Source organism: Homo sapiens, chromosome 15 (assembly GCF_000001405.40).
Source record: "Homo sapiens chromosome 15, GRCh38.p14 Primary Assembly".
NCBI lineage: Eukaryota > Metazoa > Chordata > Mammalia > Primates > Hominidae > Homo > Homo sapiens.
This window is the reverse complement of record NC_000015.10, coordinates 43,040,960-43,062,296: the sequence shown is the minus strand read 5'-3', so window position 1 is coordinate 43,062,296 and position 21,337 is coordinate 43,040,960. Positions and strand designations below refer to the sequence as shown.

General features: G+C 38.3%; 1 protein-coding gene across 1 annotated transcript in view; it reads left to right on the top strand.

Moving 5' to 3' along the window:
* The window catches only part of UBR1 (ubiquitin protein ligase E3 component n-recognin 1), a 163,142-nt gene that overhangs the window by 43,742 nt on the left and 98,063 nt on the right, over nucleotides 1-21,337 (top strand). Inside the window, exons 7-15 of the mRNA NM_174916.3 lie at nucleotides 2,183-2,245; nucleotides 2,472-2,595; nucleotides 3,105-3,212; nucleotides 3,868-3,956; nucleotides 5,855-5,953; nucleotides 7,398-7,555; nucleotides 13,806-13,905; nucleotides 15,008-15,136; nucleotides 18,902-19,082. Coding sequence (NP_777576.1) covers nucleotides 2,183-2,245; nucleotides 2,472-2,595; nucleotides 3,105-3,212; nucleotides 3,868-3,956; nucleotides 5,855-5,953; nucleotides 7,398-7,555; nucleotides 13,806-13,905; nucleotides 15,008-15,136; nucleotides 18,902-19,082 — 1,051 coding nt within the window. The remainder of the gene's footprint in view (nucleotides 1-2,182; nucleotides 2,246-2,471; nucleotides 2,596-3,104; nucleotides 3,213-3,867; nucleotides 3,957-5,854; nucleotides 5,954-7,397; nucleotides 7,556-13,805; nucleotides 13,906-15,007; nucleotides 15,137-18,901; nucleotides 19,083-21,337) is intronic.

Here is a 21,337-nt window from a genome sequence, read left to right as displayed (position 1 = left end):
CAGTATATATACACACACACCATATTTTGTTTGCCTGTTCATCTTGTCAGTGGACGCTTGGGTTGCTTCCACCTTCTGCTATTGTGGATAATGCTCTTATGAACATGGATACACAAAAGTCCGTTCAAGTCCTTGCTTTCAGTTCTTTTGGGTACATGCCCACAAGTGGAATTGCTGGATCATATGGGAATTCTATTTCTAATTTCTTGAGGAACCACCATTTTGTTTTCTATAGCAGCTGCACCATTTTGTGTATTCTCCAGCAATGCACAAGGGTTTCTCCACATCCTTGTCATTACTTGTTATTATTATTTTTTTTTTTACAGCCAACTCATTTTTTCCCTAGGTTATTGGAGTACAGGTGGTATTTGGTTACATGAGCAAGTTCTTTAATGGTGATTTGTGAGATTTTGATGCACCCATCACCGCAGCAGTATACACTGCATCCTATTTGTAGTCTTTTATCCCTCTTCCCCCACCCACCCTTCCCTCAAAGTACCCAAAGTCCATTGTATCATTCTTATGCCTTTGCGTCCTCATAGCTTAGCTCCCACACATCAGTGAGAACATATAATGTTTGTTTTTCCATTCCTAAGTTACTTCACTTAGAATAATAGTCTCCAATCTCACCCAGGTTGCTGCAAATACCGTTAATTCATTCCTTTTTATGGCTGAGTAGTATTCCAGCCTGTGTATGTGTATATATACATATATGTGTGTGTGTATATATACATATGTGTGTGTATGTATGTGTATGTGTATATGTGTGTGTGTGTATCTATATCTATCACAGTTTCTTTATCCACTCTGATGGGCATTTCAGTTGGTGCCGTGATTTTGCAATTGCAAATTGTAACTGCCATAAACATGCGTGTGCAAGTATCTTTTTTCGTATAATGACTTCTTTTCCTCTGGAAAGATAGCCAGTATTGGGACTGAGTATTTGGGGTGTCTCCCAGGTCCTGCAGGAGCAGTCCCCTTGCTTCAGAAGGTCTGTAGGTCCTCTCTGGATTCCTGGTTTGTTCTTACAGTCGTTCTGGAGCTAAAATTCATGATGTGAGCCTCTGTGTGCTGCTCTGTCCATCTGAGTCAGAGCTCGGAGCTCCAATCTAGTCCTGTCTCCCATCCACCATGATCAGCAGCTAACTCCCTTCTTATTTTTTGATAGCAGCCAAAAAATATGGATGTGAGGTGGTTTTCCTCCCCCTGTTTGTTGAGATCCACTGCTTTAGGTTAATTGCCAGCATCACATACATACAAGCTGATTGAGCTCGAGTTTATGTAACTATTCTTGTCCAATCTGTTCTTTTAACAATCTCTTATGGCCTGGCTTTTTGTGCTTTTTTTTTTTTTTTCTGTAATGGCAACCTTACTGGTGTAATTAGTAGTCCAAATATATTTGGATAGTTCTTATGCTTATGTACTAAGCAGCTAAAGAGGGAATATTACAGGATGGTTAAAAGTACAGACTCTGGAGATGAAATGCTTGTCATGGATCTCTGAATCTGTCACTTGCTAACTTTCTGATTGGGGGACAAATTAACTTCTGTCTTATTTTTCTTTTTATCATCTGTAAAATGTGGTATACCTTCTTCATAGGGTCATTGTAAAGGTTAAATGAGGAAGACAGTGCTTCCTGACTTTTTTCACATGGCACATATAGAAAATGATGAATTTTTACAGGTGGGTAAAAGAATGAGCTACAAGGAAATCCTACATAGACCTTGCATGACCGCCTCCAGGACTGGTGGAATCAGTAGTCCAGCTATACTTCCCGCTCGTTAATGGGCCACAAGTATATCATAGGATACATGTTGAAGAGCTGTGAATTCATTCATGAAAAATATTTTAAATACATAGCAGAAGTTTAGAAAGCCTGAGTCATTGTTTCATATAAGTAGAGAGGACACTGCAGTAACTAAAGAACTGCCATTCCTGCCAGGCAAGAAACTCAGCATCTTAAACTATAGACTGTCTGTCCTAGAGGTATTAAAGTTTTCATACTTCATAAAGGTGTTAAACATTTGCATCTGTCTTTCAGATATTGTTCCGGTATCTTACAACTTTTAGTCAACACGCGATTAGAGCTCAGTTAAGAGCTCATTAAGTCTTTGGGCTACATATTGCTTATTGATTGTGGTTATCATTTCACTACCTAATTCTCACTTTTGTCTATAATTAGGGTCGTCGGGCTGTTAAAGCGGGAGCTTATGCTGCTTGCCAGGAAGCAAAGGAAGATATAAAGGTAACTTTCTGAATTAGGGGGAAAAAGAGAAGTTAAAGATGAATGTACATTACAAGAGCCCAAGTAGAATAATTTGAGTGATGATGTCGTTGAAGTGGTTTGGGGCACCTAGATGCAGAGATTTGGAACTGGCAGGGTTATGTGATTTCTTCATTTGAAGTATAAATCCCTTAACTAAAAGCAAATTTTAAATGCTATTTTTTTGGTTCGTTCCCTTCATTTGTAGAGTCATTCAGAAAATGTCTCTCAACATCCACTTCATGTAGAAGTATTACACTCAGAGATTATGGCTCATCAGAAATTTGCTTTGCGTCTTGGTTCCTGGATGAACAAAATTATGAGCTATTCAAGTAAGCATACCTCCTGTTTTTCTTGTTTCTGATAAAATACTATGTGTTTTATAGCCACAAATTTTAAAATGTCATTGAGTATGAAATAAAGTTTTTCTTTTTTTTTTTTTTTTGGTTTATACACTTTGATTAATTTTCAGGGTTGCATTTCAAATGTATAATATCTTAGGATATTATTTCAAGTGCATAGTATCAAATAATATCTTTTTATTGGCTGTTGAGTCTTTGATGTTGACAGAATTATTCTTTGCCTCAAATGTGGGAGGATTAATATTATTCTTTTCACATGTTATAGGAAATGTACTTTTAGGAGAAATGTTATAAGAATAAAAATTATGGCTGAGTACAGGGGCTCATGTCTGTAATGCCAGCACTGTGAGAGGCTGAGGTGGAAGGATCGCTTGAGCCCAGGAGTTCAAGACCAACCTGGGCAACAGAGTGAGACTCATCTCTATTTAAAAAGAAAAAGAATACAAGTTGTGTAACTGTGTGACCTCTTTTGTTTGTAGGTGACTTTAGGCAGATCTTTTGCCAAGCATGCCTTAGAGAAGAACCTGACTCGGAGAATCCCTGTCTCATAAGCAGGTTAATGCTTTGGGATGCAAAGCTTTATAAAGGTAAGTAGACATTTGCTTATGCTGTTTGTCAGGAAGCAAAGGAAGATTATGACCTTAAAGTGGAGCTGTAATATCTTTTGTTTATTAAATTAGTTATTAAATCTGTAATCTTGATTGATAAGATACTACATGTGAATATAAAGTTTAACCAGTCAGTATGTATTCTTTGGTGTTAAAACCCAGGGATGTTGTCTTTTAATTATAGAGTCTTTTCATTTAGTGAGAGCCAGTCAAAAAGAGTATATATGTATGTGTCTATACATGTATCTATATATTCAGGTAGTAGTGCCATTATCGAGTAGCGAAAAAGATGCTATTTTCATTGTAAAAATCTAAATGAAGAACAAAACGTAAAAGGCTAAAAGCATGGAGAAGGAAAAGTACAGTGAAATAGAAAAAGAATGAAAAGGTTGGGAGAGAGTAAATTGAAGTGTAAGATGAAGTGGTGGGAGGGGTGCAGAAAAAGAGGGAAAAGGCAATATATGTGTGTATTTTAAATTCCAGTTATTAAATATTAATACAATAAATACTATTTGAGGTCTGTTTGCATGTGAAGTAATTTTATAATATTCTGCCACTCTAATAGCCAGAATGTTTTTGGTTTTTGCCTTGGTGATTCTCCTCATTCCCCCACCCTCCCCAAAATAATCTATAGGTGCCCGTAAGATCCTTCATGAATTGATCTTCAGCAGTTTTTTTATGGAGATGGAATACAAAAAACTCTTTGCTATGGAATTTGTGAAGGTAATTATTTATAAATTAGATATCAATAAATAGAAATAGGCAGTTTTTATAAATGAATTAATAGAAACAGGGATAATTATGAATCAAAAATTAAATGTTATGATTTATTTCTTTGTCAAAAGTTTGTTCTTGGCCCTGCGGGTTGGCTCACGCCTGTAATCCCAGCACTTTGGGAGGCTGAGGTGGGTGGATCATTTGAAGTCAGGAGCTCGAGACCAGCCTGGCCAACACGGTGAAACCCCGTCTCTACTACAAATACAAAAATTAGCCAGGCATGGTGGCAGGTGCCTGTAGTCCCAGCTACTCAGGAGGCTGAGGCAGGAAAATCACTTGAACCTGAGAGGCAGAGGTTGCAGTGAGCCAAGATCGCGCCACTGCCCTCTAGTCTGGGCAACAGAGTGAGACTCCCATCTCAAAAAAAAAAAAAAAGTTCGTTCTCATACGTTATATAAATATTTTCACAAATGTTATTTGCTAGTATAGAAACAGCATTCTTAGAGAAGAGATAGGTGGAAAATGACCCACTGACCCAGAGCAAAGGGAGGTTATCACATTCACATATGCATTCAGTCTTCCTAATCATTTATTTGCCTGTTAGTAAAATTACAATAAGAATAGAAGTGACTAATTGAAAAGTATAGCAGGAAAGAAGAACAGATGTGTATGCTAAAGTGGGGGGCAGGAATTAGGTGGCCAAGAGTTCTACTTAGTTTTTGGAAGCTAAAGCATAAGGCTAAAATTTACAGCTTTTTAATGTTTTATTAATCTATCGTGTATCTCTTACCTTACTGTATCTTTTTGTCTATCTACCAAATTAGATTGCAAGGGTATACAGATCAAGGACTCCTTTGAATCTTTTATTTTGCCTTATATAAGGCAATCATACTTGCCAGTCATACTTGTTGATTTCCTCTGATTTTGAGTTGCAGTCAATTCTGTAAGACTTAAGATAGATATAGGACCCAAGATGGAATTGGAAGCAGAGAAAGAAATAATGATTGTTGTAGGCAAATGACACTGTGGGATAAGATACCTGCATTACCTGGATTTTATATGCAGACTTAAAAGTAACTAAGACATTTGTTGTATGTCTTATCCTTCAGCAGTGATGGCAACTCAAGATGTTCTCTTCTAAAACTCTTCAGATATAGAATATTGGACCATATGTGTGATCTGAAATGAAATTTTGTTTTCTTATACAAAAGCTAATCTCCCTACTTAGATGATTTTTTTTGTACACCATGGTTACCCCTTAAACTTTGTAGGAATTCTGGAGGGTAAAGTATCTAACTTAAAGTAGGTTAAGTATCCAACTTTGTGCCTTACACATAATAGATGCCTATTATGTGACTGAGTATATTCCTATTTTTGTTCTCCCAGTATATCAGGGTTGTTTTGCAGCTGTTATGTACCAGTATGGGAAAGAAGTTATTTGCAGCCAGCATCCATTCTGTTTAAGGCTGGATTCAATCTGATTGGTTGGTTTTTCTGGGTCATATCAGTTGTTAAATACTTTGAATATATTCCCTGCCCAATACCATTAGAGTGGAAGCTGCTAAAGATTGCCCCAGATTCTGTTTGGAGAAAGGATAAACTATACCATTGCAGTCCTCTGTTTTTTGTTTGTTTGTTTGTTTGTTTTTTAACCTATGTGTATATTTTAATAGTTTCCACTTCTATCTCTGCTAAATTGAGTAGGTGAATTTTTACTTGATTTGTTGTTTGTTATTCTCCTTCTAAGATATTTTTGCTGATCATAATATCTTGCCTTAATAAATAGGAATTATATTACTTGACATTTTATAGATAGAAACAAACCTGCAGCAGTTATTAAAATTGGGATTTTTTAAAGGTCTTTAGTAGTGATTTATAATTGATTCTCTACTTATATATTTCAGTATTATAAACAACTGCAGAAAGAATATATCAGTGATGATCATGACAGAAGTATCTCTATAACTGCACTTTCAGTTCAGATGTTTACTGTTCCTACTCTGGTATGTATTGATTATTCCTTTTCAGTCTTTCTAAGTAAAACTTGTTTTGCTTTGTAAGAATTCCACTTAATGTTGAATCAAATTAGAACAATGTTAGAATCACTAAGTTGGGCTATGTGAATACTTTAGTGCTACCCAAGGACTAGTTAACTAGGCGCTGCCTTGGTTCAGATGTCCTCGTCAATGCAGATGACACCTAGAGCTGGTTTCTTACTTTCTAGAGTAACTTATGAACACTGCCTTTTCAATACCAAAAATATTTTATTTTTAAGTTATTGTTTGTAGGCAGATAGAATAAGATAAAACTAAGAAGTGGGAGGGTGTGCCTGTCAAGCATTTGGGAGAGAGGGTGCTGCATAGGCCTGGGAGGAGAGTGGAAGATTCTGCTTCCTTTGTATACCACTTCTTTTCTTTGTTTTTTGTTTCTTGAGACAGAGTCTTGGCTGGGTTGCCCTGGCTGGAGTGCAATGGGACGACCTGGGCTCACTGCAGCCTCCGCCTCCCGGGTTCAAGCGATTCTCATGCCTCAGCCACCCAAGTAGCTGGGACTACGGGCAGGCACCACCACGCCTGGTTGATTTTTGTATTTTTAGTAGAGACGGGGTTTCACCATGTTGGCCAGGCTGGTCTCAAACTCCTGACCTCAGGTGATCTGCCAGCCTTAGCCTCCCAAAGTGCTGGGATTACAAGTGTGAGCCACCGCGCCCAGCCCTACTTCTTTTCTTGTCTGGAATTAGATAGTTATCCAAACTTGGTTAATTGTTTCTACTTTACTTTTTCAAAAGGATGGAGAGGAGAGTTTAGATTGGGGTAAGGAGGAGATTTCAGAATAGATCGTAGTGTGCTAGAAGTCATGAAGTATATCTTTGTTATACTTGCTCATTGTGTGATTTTTTTTTTTGAGATGAAGTCTCTCTCTGTCACTCAGGCTGGGGTGTAGTAGCACGATCTCGGCTCACTGCAACCTCCGCCTCCTGGTTCAAGCGATTCTCCTGCCTCAGCCTCCTGAATAACTGAGATTACAGGCATTGCCACCACACCTGGCTAATTTTTGTATTTTTTGTGGAGATGGGGTTTTGCCATGTTGACCAGGATAGTCTCGAACTCCTGAGTTCAGGTGATCCGCCTGCCTCGGCCTCCCAAAGTCCTGGGATTACAGGCATGAGCCACCACATTACTGATGATAAACATTTATCTAGATAACCTGTCTAATGGGCTTGGAGTATCCAGATAGGTGTTGTCTAGTTACTGAGGAGTAGGGAATTTTTTCTTTTAGAAAATAACTTCTTAGTAGTTGCTATTCAGTGAAACTAAGGACTGTGTTTAACATTCAATAACAAACATTTATTAAAAATGACATACTGACTAACCAAATGAATGAATAAATTAAGTCCATACCACAATGAGTTAATGCTAAAGAAAATATTCTTGAAATATTCCGCAGGCTCGACATCTTATTGAAGAGCAGAATGTTATCTCTGTCATTACTGAAACTCTGCTAGAAGTTTTACCTGAGTACTTGGACAGGAACAATAAATTCAACTTCCAGGGTTATAGCCAGGACAAATTGGGAAGAGTATATGCAGTAATATGTGACCTAAAGTAAGTTGTTCAAGTCAAAAGGTGAGGGCACCTGTTAAACTCAGTGTGCTTATTTGCTGTGTCTTATAAGTAATCCTGTGATCATTTTGGTTATCCAGAATTCTCTTTATAATGATGGCAAGTACAAAGAACTGTTACTGCCTCGCGTTAATAAATGTCTTCAGTGAAGGCTTCTTATTGAGTTGTAAAACCTGGTTAGTAAAGAAGGTATTGAGGAGAGGCCCATTACAGGAACTTGGGATCTCCTGGGGTCACCAAATGCATTGCCATTGTAATTACCATACTTTTCATTCACTTCCACTCACACACTTTGGTTCTGTCCTTCCTATATAGTCTCTTTGTGCATAGTTTCAGACAATCTATTGACATAAATTTCTTTCTTTTTTTTTTTGAGACAGGGTCTCGCTGTGTTGCCCAAGCTGGAGTGCAGTGATGCAAACATGGCTCACTGAAGCCTCAACCTCCTGGGCTCCAGTGATCCTCCTGCCTCAGCCTCCCATGTAGCTGGGACCACAGGCACGTGCCACCATGCCTGGCAAATTTTTTATTGTTTTGTAGAGACGGAGTCTCACTTTTTGTTGCCCAGGCTGACTTGGACTCCTGGGGTCAAGCAGTCCTTCTGCTTTGGCCTCCCATAGTGTTGGGATTACAGTCATGAGCTACTGCGGCTGGCTGTTAACATTTTTTTAACTCCTTTTTGCTATACAGTTGATCCTCCGTATTTGTGGGTTCCACATCTGTGGGTTCAACCAACCGCAGACTGAAAATACTCCATTTTTTAAAAATTGCCATGAGGCTGAGGCAGAAGAATCGCTTGAACGCAGGAGGTGGAGGTTGTAGTGAGCAAAGATTGCGCCACTGCACTCCAGCCTGGCAACGGAGTGAGACTGCATCTCAAAAAAAAAAAAAAAAAATTGCGTCTGTATCAGACCAGCCTGGACAACATAGCGAGACCTTGTTTCTACAAAAATAAAAATAAAAATTAGCCAGGTACAGCAGTGCAAGCCTCTATTCCTAGCTACTCAGGATGCAGAGGCGAGAGGATCACTTGAGCCCAGGGGTTTGAGGTTACAGTAAACTGTGATCATGCCACTGCACTCCAGCCTGGGCAACAGAGCGGGATCCTATCTCTAAAAAAATAAAATAAAGTTCAGTAAATTATTATATTTTATCTTCAGTATAAGTGGAGATGGTAGGTAAATTCAGTAGTGAATCAATATATAGCCATTGTAATTGAAATTTGTTTCTCAGCCAAATTATGCAAAACTTACATGTTGTACAAAACAAAAACTCCTAATGGCAGTACTTAAAGTTATTGTTAGGTCAGTGAATATAGAAAAAAATCTCTCTACCATGGCTATCATTACTGTGAAGTATTATAACTGAGTTATTTTTATATCCAGTTAAGTGGTGCATAATCACTTGTTTTATCATATTTTATGAGTCTCTGACTATAGCTAATCTCTACGGTGAATAATTTAGAGCCAGCACATCCCTAAATACCTACCCTTATAGTAGAACTTTAAGGTGTCTAGTTTGGAAGGCAACTTTAAATCTTCTGATGCTTACAATTCCTCCCCTCTATCCCAACCTAAATATAGATATCTCCAGTGACCAGGGGAAGGGAAAATTAACACCTGTTCTGCAGGTACTGTGTAATTCACTCTCATGAGAATCCTGTGAGATTTATTAGTAACTGCTATGTGCCAAGGAGCTTTGCTTATCTTACCTGATTATATTCTTGCACTATTCTTAGAAGGTACTTGATATAATCTTACTTTGTAGATTGTAAATATTTGCCTCAAGTCACAAACCTAGTAAGTGGCAGAACTGAGATTTGATTATAAACACCGTTTATCTGTAAAACTCATGTTCCTTTCACTATGTCATGTAGCCTCACAGGATACATAAACAACAACACAAAATCTACTCTGAAACCTGGCCTAACACACCAATCACAAAAACTCTTTATTTAGCAAATAATTCGTGTTAATTGCTTTCTCAGTCTCTCATTGTAGAAATTCTGTAGTCACATCTTACTCTTTCCCTACATGTTTATTTACTAATTTCCCCTGAAACCTTGTTTTTAAATTAGTTAGCAATAACCACACTTAATGTATTTTCTTTCCCAGATAAAGTCTAAATTCTGTCAGAATTTGTAGGTCTTCATAGTTTAGCTTTGTGTTTATCTGACTGTACCTCAGCATGAAATAAGTTTGTTGGTACTAGTAGGTACTCTGTTCAGCCTGCCTTAGGAAATTTTCATTCTCTCAAAGCAGCACATTCCAACTTTGGATAGCTTCTTCCAACTATTAGAAAGTTTCCTATTGTATATTGAACTCTTGTCTTTTTTTGTAGCTTTTATTTTCTGGTTCTAGTTCTCTCTTTGTCCATTCAGAACAACTTCAATTCTCATTTAACTTGAAGAAGTATTTAAAGGCAGCAGTCATACCTGCCAGGTCTTTTCTGCATTGAGTTGCATTTATTTCTTTAACTAGTCCCATTTCATGTTGGTTAAAATTCCTTCTAAATCATTGTCCTTCTCTACTGAACCTGTTCCAGGTGCATGTATACCATTTATGTGCCAAGAAATGAACACAGTACTCCAACTGAGATCTGCCTAGGAAAACACAGAAGGGAGGGATTGCTACCTCTCTTATTCTAAAAAATTTATGTCTATTTAGTTTTGTCACTTGCTTTTTGGGAGGTATCTCATGGGGTACTTTGTTTCTCAGTTGCTAATTTATTGTGGAAATGCAACTTAGAAAAGAGATGCAGTTGAACCTTGGTGCTATTGAGGAACAATATTATTCTTTTATTACTCTAACCTATTCCTTTGTTCCATTTCCAGAAAGTATAGCACACTCTCAAACCAAATCACTCCCTTACTGTCTCACCCTGTCCACACTTTTCTCCCTCTTTTCCCATTGCTTTTGCCACCTATTTTTATCTACAGACTTCTTTTCCTTCCCTTCCTTACCCTTTTGTTTGTTCCAATCCCTTACATCTTCTTTACTTGGTAAGTCATCTATAGAGGTTGCTCATTAGCTATGTGAGATTGTTAGAAACCAAAAATGTAAATTCTCTTCTAGATCAGTGCTTCTCAGATTTTAATGTGAATGCAAATCATCTGGGGAGCTGCTTTTTTTAATTTTTATTTAACTTTTATTTTGAGTTCAGGGGTACATGTGCAGGCTTGTTACATAGGTAAACTTGTGTCATGGGGGTTTGTTGTTAAGATTATTTTGTCACCCAAGTATTAAGCCTAGTACCCATTAGCTATATTTCCTGATCCTCTCCCTCCTCCCAACCTCAATCCTCTGATAGACCCCAGTGTGTGTTGTTCCCCTCTATGTGTCCATGTGTTCTCATCATTTAGTTCCCACTTGTAAGTGAGAACATGCAGTATTTGGTTTTCTGTTTCTGCGTTAGTTTGCTAAGGATAATGGCCTCTAGCTCCATCCATGTTCCCAGAAAAGATGTGATCTCATTCTTTTTCTGGCTGTATAGTATTCCATGGTGTATATGTACCAAATTTTCTTTATCCAGTCTATCACTGATGGGCATTTAAGTTGATTCCATGCCTTTGCTATTGTGAATGCTGCAGTGAATGTATGTGTGCATGTGTCTTTATAATAGAACAATTTATATTCCTTTGGGTGAATACCCGGTAATGAAATTGCCGGGTTGAATGACATTTCTGTTTTTAGGTCTTCAAGGAATTGTCACACTGTCTTCCATAATGCTTGAATTAATTTATGCTCCTACCAACAGTGTATGAGCATTCATTTTTCCCTGCAACCTCCCCAGCGTCTGTGACTTTTTACTTTTTAATAGTAGCCATTGTGACTAGTGTGAGATGGTATCTCATTGTGGTTTTGATTTGCATTTCTCCAATGATCAGTGATGTTGAGCTTTATTTCATGTAATTGTTGGCAGCATGTATGTCTTCTTTTGAAAAGTGTCTGTTCTGTTCTTATCCTTTGCTCCCCTGCCCCGCTTTTTTTTTTTTTTTTTTAAGACGGAGTCTCGCTCTGTTGCCCAGGCTGGAATGCAGTAGCACTATCTTGGCTCACTGCAACCTCAGTCTCCTGGGTTCAAGTGATTCTCCTGCCTCAGCCTCCCGAATAGCTGGGACTACAGGCACATGCTGTCATGCCTGGCTAATTTATTGTAATTTAGTGGAGATATTTTAGTGGAGACGGGGTTTCACCGTGTTGCCCAGGGTGGTCTTGAACTCCTGAGCTCAGGCAATCTGCCCACCTCGGCCTCTTAAAGTGCTGGGATTACAGGCGTGAGCCACTGCACCCGGCCTCACTTATTCATTTTTTCTTTTTTGTAAATTTATTTATTTTCCTTATAGATGCTGGCTATTAGGACTTTGTCAGATGCATAGTTTGCAAAAATTTTCTCCCATTCTGTTGGTTGTCTCTTCACTCTGTTGATAGTTTCCTTTGCTGTGCAGAAGCAAATCATCTGGGGAGCTTCCTTAAGTTCAGATTCTGGGGCTGATTGCGTTGGCTCATGTGCTTTGGAAGGCTGAGGCAGGAGGATTGCTTGAGGCCAGGAGGTTGCAACCAGCCTGGGCAACATAGTGAGACTTTGTCTCTACAAAAAATAAAATTAGCCAGGTTTGGTGGCACGCGCCTGTAGTCTTAGCTACTGAGGAGGCTGAGGCAGGAGGATTACTCGAGCCTGAGAGTTTGAAATTGTGGTGAGCTATGATTGCACCACTGCACTCCAACCTGGGCAACAGAGTAAGGCCAAGTTTAAAAAAAAAACGGGGGCAGGGAAGCTTCTTATTCAGCAGGTCTAATTAGAGCCCAACATGTTGCCTCTTTAAAGAGCACTCAGGTGAGGCTGGTGCTGCTGGTTAGTGGACCACACTTTGAGTAGTAGTGCTCTAGAAAGCAACAAAACATGAATGCCGTTTGTTCAATGTGGCAGATTTTAAACTTTAATCTTTTTTATCTTTTACTTTAAAAGAAAGATTTAGATGGTAATTAGTATATTTGAATTAAATCTTTATAAGTTTCTTTGATGATTGTATTTTTAATGTACATTTGCATGTTAATGGGTATCTAAAGAGTGAGAAAAATTAAACCACAATCCTATCTTTGCAGTTCAAAAAAAATGTATTTTCTTTGTTGCTTTGTCTTTATGTACCTACATTACTTCTTTTTTTGTGTGTCATGCTGTCACCCAGGCTGGAGTGCAGTGTTGCGATCTCGGCTCACTGCAAGCTCTGCCTCCTGGGTTCACGCCATTCTCCTGCTTCAGCCTCCCGAGTAGCTGGGACTACAGGCACCCGCCACCACGCCCAGCTAATTTTTTGTATTTTTAGTAGAGACGGGGTTTCACTGTGTTAGCCAGGATGGTCTCAATCTCCTGACCTCGTGATCCACCTGCCTCGGCCTCCTAAAGTGCTGGGATTACAGGCGTGAGCCATACATTACCTCTTTTATACATTATTTTAGTGTTTAACATTGAATTTCTGTCTACTGTGTGTATCTGTTTTTCCCACTATACTATGAACTTCAGGACAGGTGTGTCCATGTTTATGTTCCCAACACCTGCAATATAACAGGAATTTATTCTCATTGGTCAAGTGCAAAATAGTATTTTATACTTGTTAATAATTACTTCCTGATAACTCATTTCATGATAAACATTGTTCCCATTGTATATGAAACCAGTCATTGTCTTTACAGCCAAAAGAAATATTAATCATACAAATTATAGGCTAAAATGAGTTTGTTTATCTCTTGAAACTAGTACATCCTGATGTGCAAGTCAAGATGACAGGTGCTTACATCCTTCTTCCAAGTTCTGGGTTATGAAAAACTGGAGGTAGAAAATCTGTTCCAAATCTCCTGAGGCTGAAACAATTTCAGCTGGCCCTTTGGCTGATGGGTGTGAACAGTTCTAGGGAATCTGTACTGTGGTTGTCCAGAGTTAGCTGTGACAGGCTTGGTCAGTTCTAGGTTCACTTAATCAGACTAACCTCTGAGAATGTAGTGTGTGAAGTCAGGTTTAGCTTGATATCTGCCTCTTCTAGAGCATTCATGTTTTACTGGTTGTATTTAAAATAAGGCAGAATAAATAATTCTAGCTCTACTCAGAGCTTCTAATTATTGTGAGAAATTAGAATCCATAATTTTTATAAATCAACATTGTCTATAACCCTGAGAACCTTAAAATTATCTCAAAATAGATAAATGAAATATTTCTTTCTTTCTTGAAACGATAGGTATATCCTGATCAGCAAACCCACAATATGGACAGAAAGATTAAGAATGCAGTTCCTTGAAGGTTTTCGATCTTTTTTGAAGATTCTTACCTGTATGCAGGTATGATCATTTTTCTGTACATCAGTAAAAGAAATTTATTTTTAAAAATTGAACCGCAGTCTTTTTAAAGCAGATTTTGGTTTTAATACAAGAAAGAATTTATCTAGCAAAGTAGAAACAAGATTTAAACATTGACTCACTCATCCTGTTTTGATAGATCCTTTTATATACCTTAGTTTACTATTGCTACTTTTTTTTTTTTTTCGAAGACAGAGTCTCGCTCTGTTGCCAGGCTGGAGTGCAATGGTGCAATCTCGGCTCACTGCAACCTCCGCCTCCCAGGTTCAAGCGATTCTCCTGCCTCAGTCTCCCAAGTAGCTGGGATTACAGGCATGCACCACCACACCCAGCTAATTTTTGTATTTTTAGTAGAGGTGGGGTTTCACCATGTTGGCCAGGATGGTCTCAATCTCTTGACCTCCCAAGGTGCTGGGATTACAGGTGTGAGCTGCCATGCCCGGCCTACTGTTGCTACTTCTGTTAATGTTTGCTGAATACTTACCATGTGATAAATGTGTAGTAAGCACTTTTCATGCATGATCTCTTTTGAGCCTTATAGCAATCTTATTAAGTAGTTACTATTAATATTCTCCTTTTACATGTAAGGGTTACTTGCATGTGCAGCAAGCACAACACATATTTTTTTGGCTCCCTCACCCTTATGGAAAGCATGTACAGTTGTTGGGTGATGAGGTTAAGGTGCTTGTTTTCATCTTGACATCTCCTAAATACTCTTAATTCATCTACATTTAGTATCTTCACTTGTTAGCTTCTAATACTTCTTTAGAGTCTGACTTTATGCCCTTATCAATTGACAAGAACTGCATTTAGGAAAAAATCTCAAAGGATCCATTTAGTAACCAAGCTTAGAAATAATTTGCCCAGGGTCACACAGCTAGAAATACCAGACAGAGCTGGGCTTTGCGGTTAATGTTCTAACCCTGAGCACATACCTGAGAGCTGGGAATTGAACCCATGCATTCTGACCCAGTGTAACAACCATGTTAAAATGTTATGAATCCTGACAGTTTTATATTTTGCCAAGAGCAGAGCAAAGAGAGAGGGCTCAGATAGGTGTATGTTGACCAACTTGTAATTGCAGGGAATGGAAGAAATCCGAAGACAGGTTGGGCAACACATTGAAGTGGATCCTGATTGGGAGGCTGCCATTGCTATACAGATGCAATTGAAGAATATTTTACTCATGTTCCAAGAGTGGTGTGCTTGTGATGTAAGTAAAATTTGTTAGTAGGATCAGTGCCTTTTTAAGTTCTTAGTAATTATTAATAGTATAGTTTTATGTTGCAGCTTCCTTGATGTAAAGTTTTTATTATTTATAGTAGCTTTTTACATATTTGAATTTCTCTTTTTAAATTTAGGGGGAAACTGTATATACTTGAGTAGAAAATGTGCCCTGTGGTAGTTTTGCTTATTTTGGGGAATAGCAGGGTTTATACATGTGTATGTATGTATTTATACACACGTTTATTCCCTGGAAAATGCATATTAATAATAATATAATGAGGACCATAGTAGACTTTTAAATATTCCAGGAATGGAGAGGGGTAGATTATTCATTCAAGAGCTTTGTTGTATGTGTTAGTTTCAAACTATAGAACTAATGTATTTCCTTAAGCAGCAATTTTAGACCATAACCGTCTTTAAATATGTAATCCCACCCTAGATTCCCTTTAAGAATGATGACCTCATTTATTTATTTTCTGAGAAAATTGCTATTATCTAAGTTAAATTCCCTCATCATCTCTGCTTTCTCTGTGTCTGTTACCATAACCTATTCAGTGACTAAGTTTTTCTGCGTCTTCACTATTGGTCTTTTCCTTTTTGTCTCTTTCTAAGTCTAATGACTCTACCTAGGCTCTTGGTTCTGACTTATATTACTTTTTCCTGGAGTTAGCTTCCTGAATTATCTGGACTTGTGTTTCCTACTCTTTTATTCAATTGTCTATAAACACACAGGACTCGCTTATTTTTAAAAACAACAATAATAAAAGCCTCCTTTCTTGCCTTTGCACCCCTGTGAACTATAATCTCTTCTGCTTCACCACCAGCAATTGGTCATAGGTTCAGAGTGGCAGCCATACTCACAAATGTAGTAGACTTTAATCTAGCACTGTAGCTTTTTAGTACAATCACCACAGGAAATACTGTCCAGCAAGCACAGCATGTATTTTTTGGCTTCCCTCACTTTTATGGAGGGCATGCACAATTGTTAGGTGATGAGGCAAAGGTTTCATCTTGACTTCTTCCAAACCTTCTGAAGTCATCTACATTTAGTATCTTCACTTATAGCTCCTAACACTTCTTTACAGTCTGGCTTCTGCCCTTATCAATTGACAAGAACTGCATTTAGAAAAAAATCACAGAGGATCCATTTGGTAACCAAATTCAGAGGTCTTTCCTTAGTTTCCATCTTCCTTGAATTATCTGTAGCATTGTATTTTCTTGAGTACTTTAACCATCTTGAAACTTTGTTTCCCTCTGGTTTTCACAAACAGGCATTATCCTAATACATTTATTATCGATTACCTATTTCAGTCAGTGATTACCTTTTTTTCTAGTGCCTTCTGCCTGCTAAACGAGACATTCCCCAATATTCTCTTTCTTACAGAAATATGTTTTCACAAATACGTCTTCCTAATTGTTTGTGATTATTTTCTTTGCCGTCTTAGGGCAATTAGCTTGTCCCATTTACATGGTATTTAAAATTTTTTTACTTTGATGGTAAGTGTGTATGTGTGTATATCTTACATTCTTTTCTCTTCTCTTGTATTTCTACCACTTAGTTAAAAGTTCATAGGGATGACTCTCCTAAGCTACAGTGTCACTTCTGTTTGTGGGCCAGACATTCCTGTTTAGATCTTACACGTGTGTGTCTGTGTGTGTGAGTGTGTGTGTGTGTTTTTAGAGACAAGGTCTTACTCTGTCACCCAGGCTGGAGTATAGTGGCGCTATCATGGCTCACTGCAGCCTTGACCTCCTGGCCTCACATGATCCTCCCACCTTAGCCTCCAAAGTCGCTGGGACTACAGGCACATGCCACCACACCTAGCTAATTTTTAATTTTTTTATTTTTTGCAGAGACAGGGTTTCTCTGTGTTGCCCAGGCTAGTCTCAAACTCCTCACTTCCAAGTGATTCTCTTTCTTTGGCCTCCCAAAGTGCTGGGATTATAGGCATGAGCCACCACACCTGGCCTCAAACTCAAAATATTTTAAATGGACCTGTCATCATTTCCTTCTACTTCCAACTTGCATTTTCTCATTTTGATTATCCTTGTTTTATTAATGACATTACTATTAAATTCATCCATATGGGAAATCTCAGAGCCACTGTTTTCTATATGTTCAACATTAACTGGTGTTTTGAAGGGAAAAATGTTCTGGGTTCATGTAAGATTCAGAAATGTCAGGTTAAACAAAAAGAGGATTTTTTTTTCTTTTAAAGCTACTGAATTTCTTTCTTTCTTTTTTTTCCTTTGAGATGGAGTCTCGCTCTGTCACCCAGGCTGGAGTGCAGTGGCACGAACTTGGCTCACTGCAACCTCCGCCTCCTGGGTTCAAGCGGTTCTGCTGCCTCAGCCTCCTGAGTAGCTGGGACTACAGGTGTGCACCACCACACCCGGCTAATTTGTTTTGTATTTTTTAGTAGAGACGGGGTTTCACCATATTGGCCAGGCTGGTCTCAAACTCCTGACCTCGTGATCTGCCCACCTCGGCCTTCCAAAGTGCTAGGATTGCAGATGTGAGCCACTGCGCCCAGCCGCTACTGAATTTCTAAAACCCTTTAGTTAGTCAGTATGCTGATTTCTGAGAGGGATGTTTCCAAATCATCTGTTTTGACCATGGAGTTCCTTTTTCAAGATTAAATTAGAAACATTATCTTAAAAGAATGGTCTTTAATGTCTCCCTTCTGTATTCACCCAGATTTGATTCTTCCTTATCTCAAATATATTTTATAATTCTAAATTATTTTCTATGGGTTCATTCTTTTTTGTCCTGATGGCCCCACCCTAGTTCAGACCCTTATCACTTTACTTTATAGTCATCTTCCTGTTGGTTTCTTTGTCTACTAACTTTATCCTCTCCAATCTACCATCTTCAATGACCCACATTAATTCTTCCTGAAGCAGTGTGTTGGCTACATTATTACACTGCGGACTCCATCAGTGTATTCACATGCCTGTGCCAAGGCACATTTCCAGTTCAAATGCTTGTTAATTTCATCCGTAAATTCTTTCATTTTATCTACTCTTTATTCTCCACTGCCTGAATAGGAGTTGTATTTCTCTTATTTTTGTCTTTATTTATTTTATATCTCTGCTTAGAATGCCATCTTCTCCTTATCTTTCCCCATACTTAAATTATGCATATTCTTTTAGGGCCCATCAGAAGCTGCTTTCACAAATATGTCTTCCCAGTTCTTTGTGATTCTTTTTTTTCCCCCCTCTTAGAGCAATTAGTCTGTACCATTTACATGGTACTTATTTTTTACTTTGATTATAAGTGCATATATAGGTATATCTTATGTTTCCTACAAGTTTGCAGATCCTGTGGAGGTAGACTTAGTAATACATAGAACAATTTTCCACTCATATTTAGTAAATATTTATTGAATGATGCATGTTATGCTGGGCATGGTGGCCCACACCTGTAATGCTAGCACTTTGGGAGGTCAAGGTGGGTGAACCACTTGAGCCCCGGAGTTCAAAACCAGCTTGGCCAACATGCGGAGACCCTGCCTCTACAAAAAATACAAAAACTGGGCATGGTGGCACGCGCCTGTAGTCCCAGCTACTCAGGAGGCTGAGGTGGGAGAATCACCTCAGGTGACTGAGCCCAGGAGGTTGAGGCTGCAGTGAGCTGTGATTATGCCACTGTACTCCAGCCTAGGCCACAGGACAGGCTGTCTCAAAACAAAACAAAAAAAGTGTTAAAGTAGAAAACTTGTCAACTTTTTGTATCTTATTTTCCTCTTAGGAAGAACTCTTACTTGTGGCTTATAAAGAATGTCACAAAGCTGTGATGAGGTGCAGTACCAGTTTCATATCTAGTAGCAAGACAGTAGTACAATCGTGTGGACATAGTTTGGAAACAAAGTCCTACAGAGTATCTGAGGATCTTGTAAGCATACATCTGCCACTCTCTAGGACCCTTGCTGGTGAGTGTTTGTTTTTTCTTTTTGCATATACCTATTAGCTTTCTTTCTAGGTATTCATTTAGTAGAATCATTTCTATTTTTGTTCTGTGCTCAATATGTACAGACATGCTCAGGTCAGATACTGCAGTTAAGGGCTGTCACTGTCCTTCAAGGAGCTGTCACCAGAACATCTATTTAAAGCTGCTTATTTACCTGGGCTTTGTTTTGTCTGGGTCAACTTATGGATCCTTAGAGTATATACTTAAGGACTAACGTGGTAACTCATCTCCCACCCAAATTTAAATATAATAAAATCTGGTTGCTGGTTTCTAAACCTCCTCTCTGACCAATTTCACTGGTGTATTATCTGTATCATTCTTTATCATTAAAAGGAAGAAATCATAGATTCTCCTTAATCATTTGCATTTCCATGTAAATTGGCCATTCATTTGTCAGGGTTTTTAAAAAATAGCTTTATTGAAGTGTATATATTTCTATTTTCAATGATAAAATGTACATGACATAAAGCTTATCATTTTAGCCATTTTTAAGTGTACAGTTCAGTGGCACTAAGTATATTCACATTTTCTACAACCATCACCACCATCCTTCTCCAAAAGCTTTTTATCTTCTAAGCATGAAACTTCCAAAACTGAATAGAATAATAATTTATTAAACAATTATTATTACTAAACAATACCTCCCCATTGCCTCCTCCCCACACCCGCTAGCAACTACCACTCTGTGTCTATGAATTTGACTACTCTAGGTACCTATTATAAGTTGACTCAAACAGTATTTGTCCTTTTGTGACTGGCTTATATCACCTAGCATAATGTCCTCAGGTTTATGTTGTAGTACATCTCAGAATTCCCTTTTTTTTTAAAGGCTGAATAATATTCCATTGTATGAATATACCACATTTTGTTCATCCATTTATCCGTTGATGGACACTTGGGTTGCTTCTACCTTTTGGCTGTTATGAATAGTGCTGTTATGACATGGATGTAGAAGTATCTCTTCAAGTCCTTGCTTTCAGTTTTTTGGGTATATACCCAAATGTGGAATTGCTGGATCATTTGGGAATTCTATGTTTGGTTTTTTGAGGAACCATCATAGTGTTTTCCTTAGTGGCTGTACCATTTTACATTCCCACCCGCATGCACTAGGATTCCATTTTCTCTACACCTTGCCAACACTTGCTATTTCTCCTTTTTTCCCCCCCAGATAATAACCATTCTAATGGATATGAAGTGATATCTCATTGTGGTTTTGATTTGCGTGTCCCTAGTGATTAGTGATTTTGATCAGCTTTTCAAATGTTTGTTGGCCATTTGTATATCTTCCTTGGAGAACTGTCTATTCAAGTGCTCTGCCCATTTTTTAATCTGGTTTAATTTTGCTGTTCAGTTGGAGTTACTTATATAATTCTAGATATTAAGTGTTCATCAGATATGTGATTTACAAATATTTTCTCCCATTCTGTGGGTTGCCTTTTTACCCTGTTGATGGTCTTCTTTGAGACACAGGAGTTTTTGTTATAGTTGAATTTATCTACTTTTTTCTTTTGTTGCCTGTGCTTTTGGTGTCATATCCAAAAAACTCATTGTCAAATCTAATTTTTTTTTGTTTTTTTGTTTTTTAATTATACTTTAAGTTCTAGGGTACAGGTGCACAACATGCAGGTTTGTTACAAATGTATACATGTGCCATGTTGGTATGCTGCACCCATTAACTCGTCATTTAATGTATAGGGGGGTCCCTATACATTGGGGGCCCCTCCCCCAACCCCACGACAGGCCCCGGTGTGTGATGTTCCCCTTCTTGTGTCCAGGTGTTCTCATTATTCAATTCCCACCTATGAGTGAGAACATGCAGTGTTTGGTTTTTTGTCCCTGTGATAGTTTGCTGAGAATGATGGTTTCCAGCTTCATTCATGTCCCTACAAAGGGCATGAACTCATCCTTTTTTATGGCTGCATAGTATTCCATGGTGTATATGTGCCACATTTTCTTAATCCAGTCTATCATTGATGGACATTTGGGTTGGTTCCAAGTCTTTGCTATTGTGAATAGTGCTGCAATAAACATACGTGTGCATGTGTCTTTATAGCAGCATGATTTATAATCCATTGGGTATATACCCAGTAATGGGATTGCTGGGTCAAATGGTATTTCTAGTTCTAGATCCTTGAGGAATCGCCACACTGTCTTCCACAATGGTTGAACCAGTTTACAGTCCCACCAACAGTGTAAAAGTGTTCCTATTTCTCCACG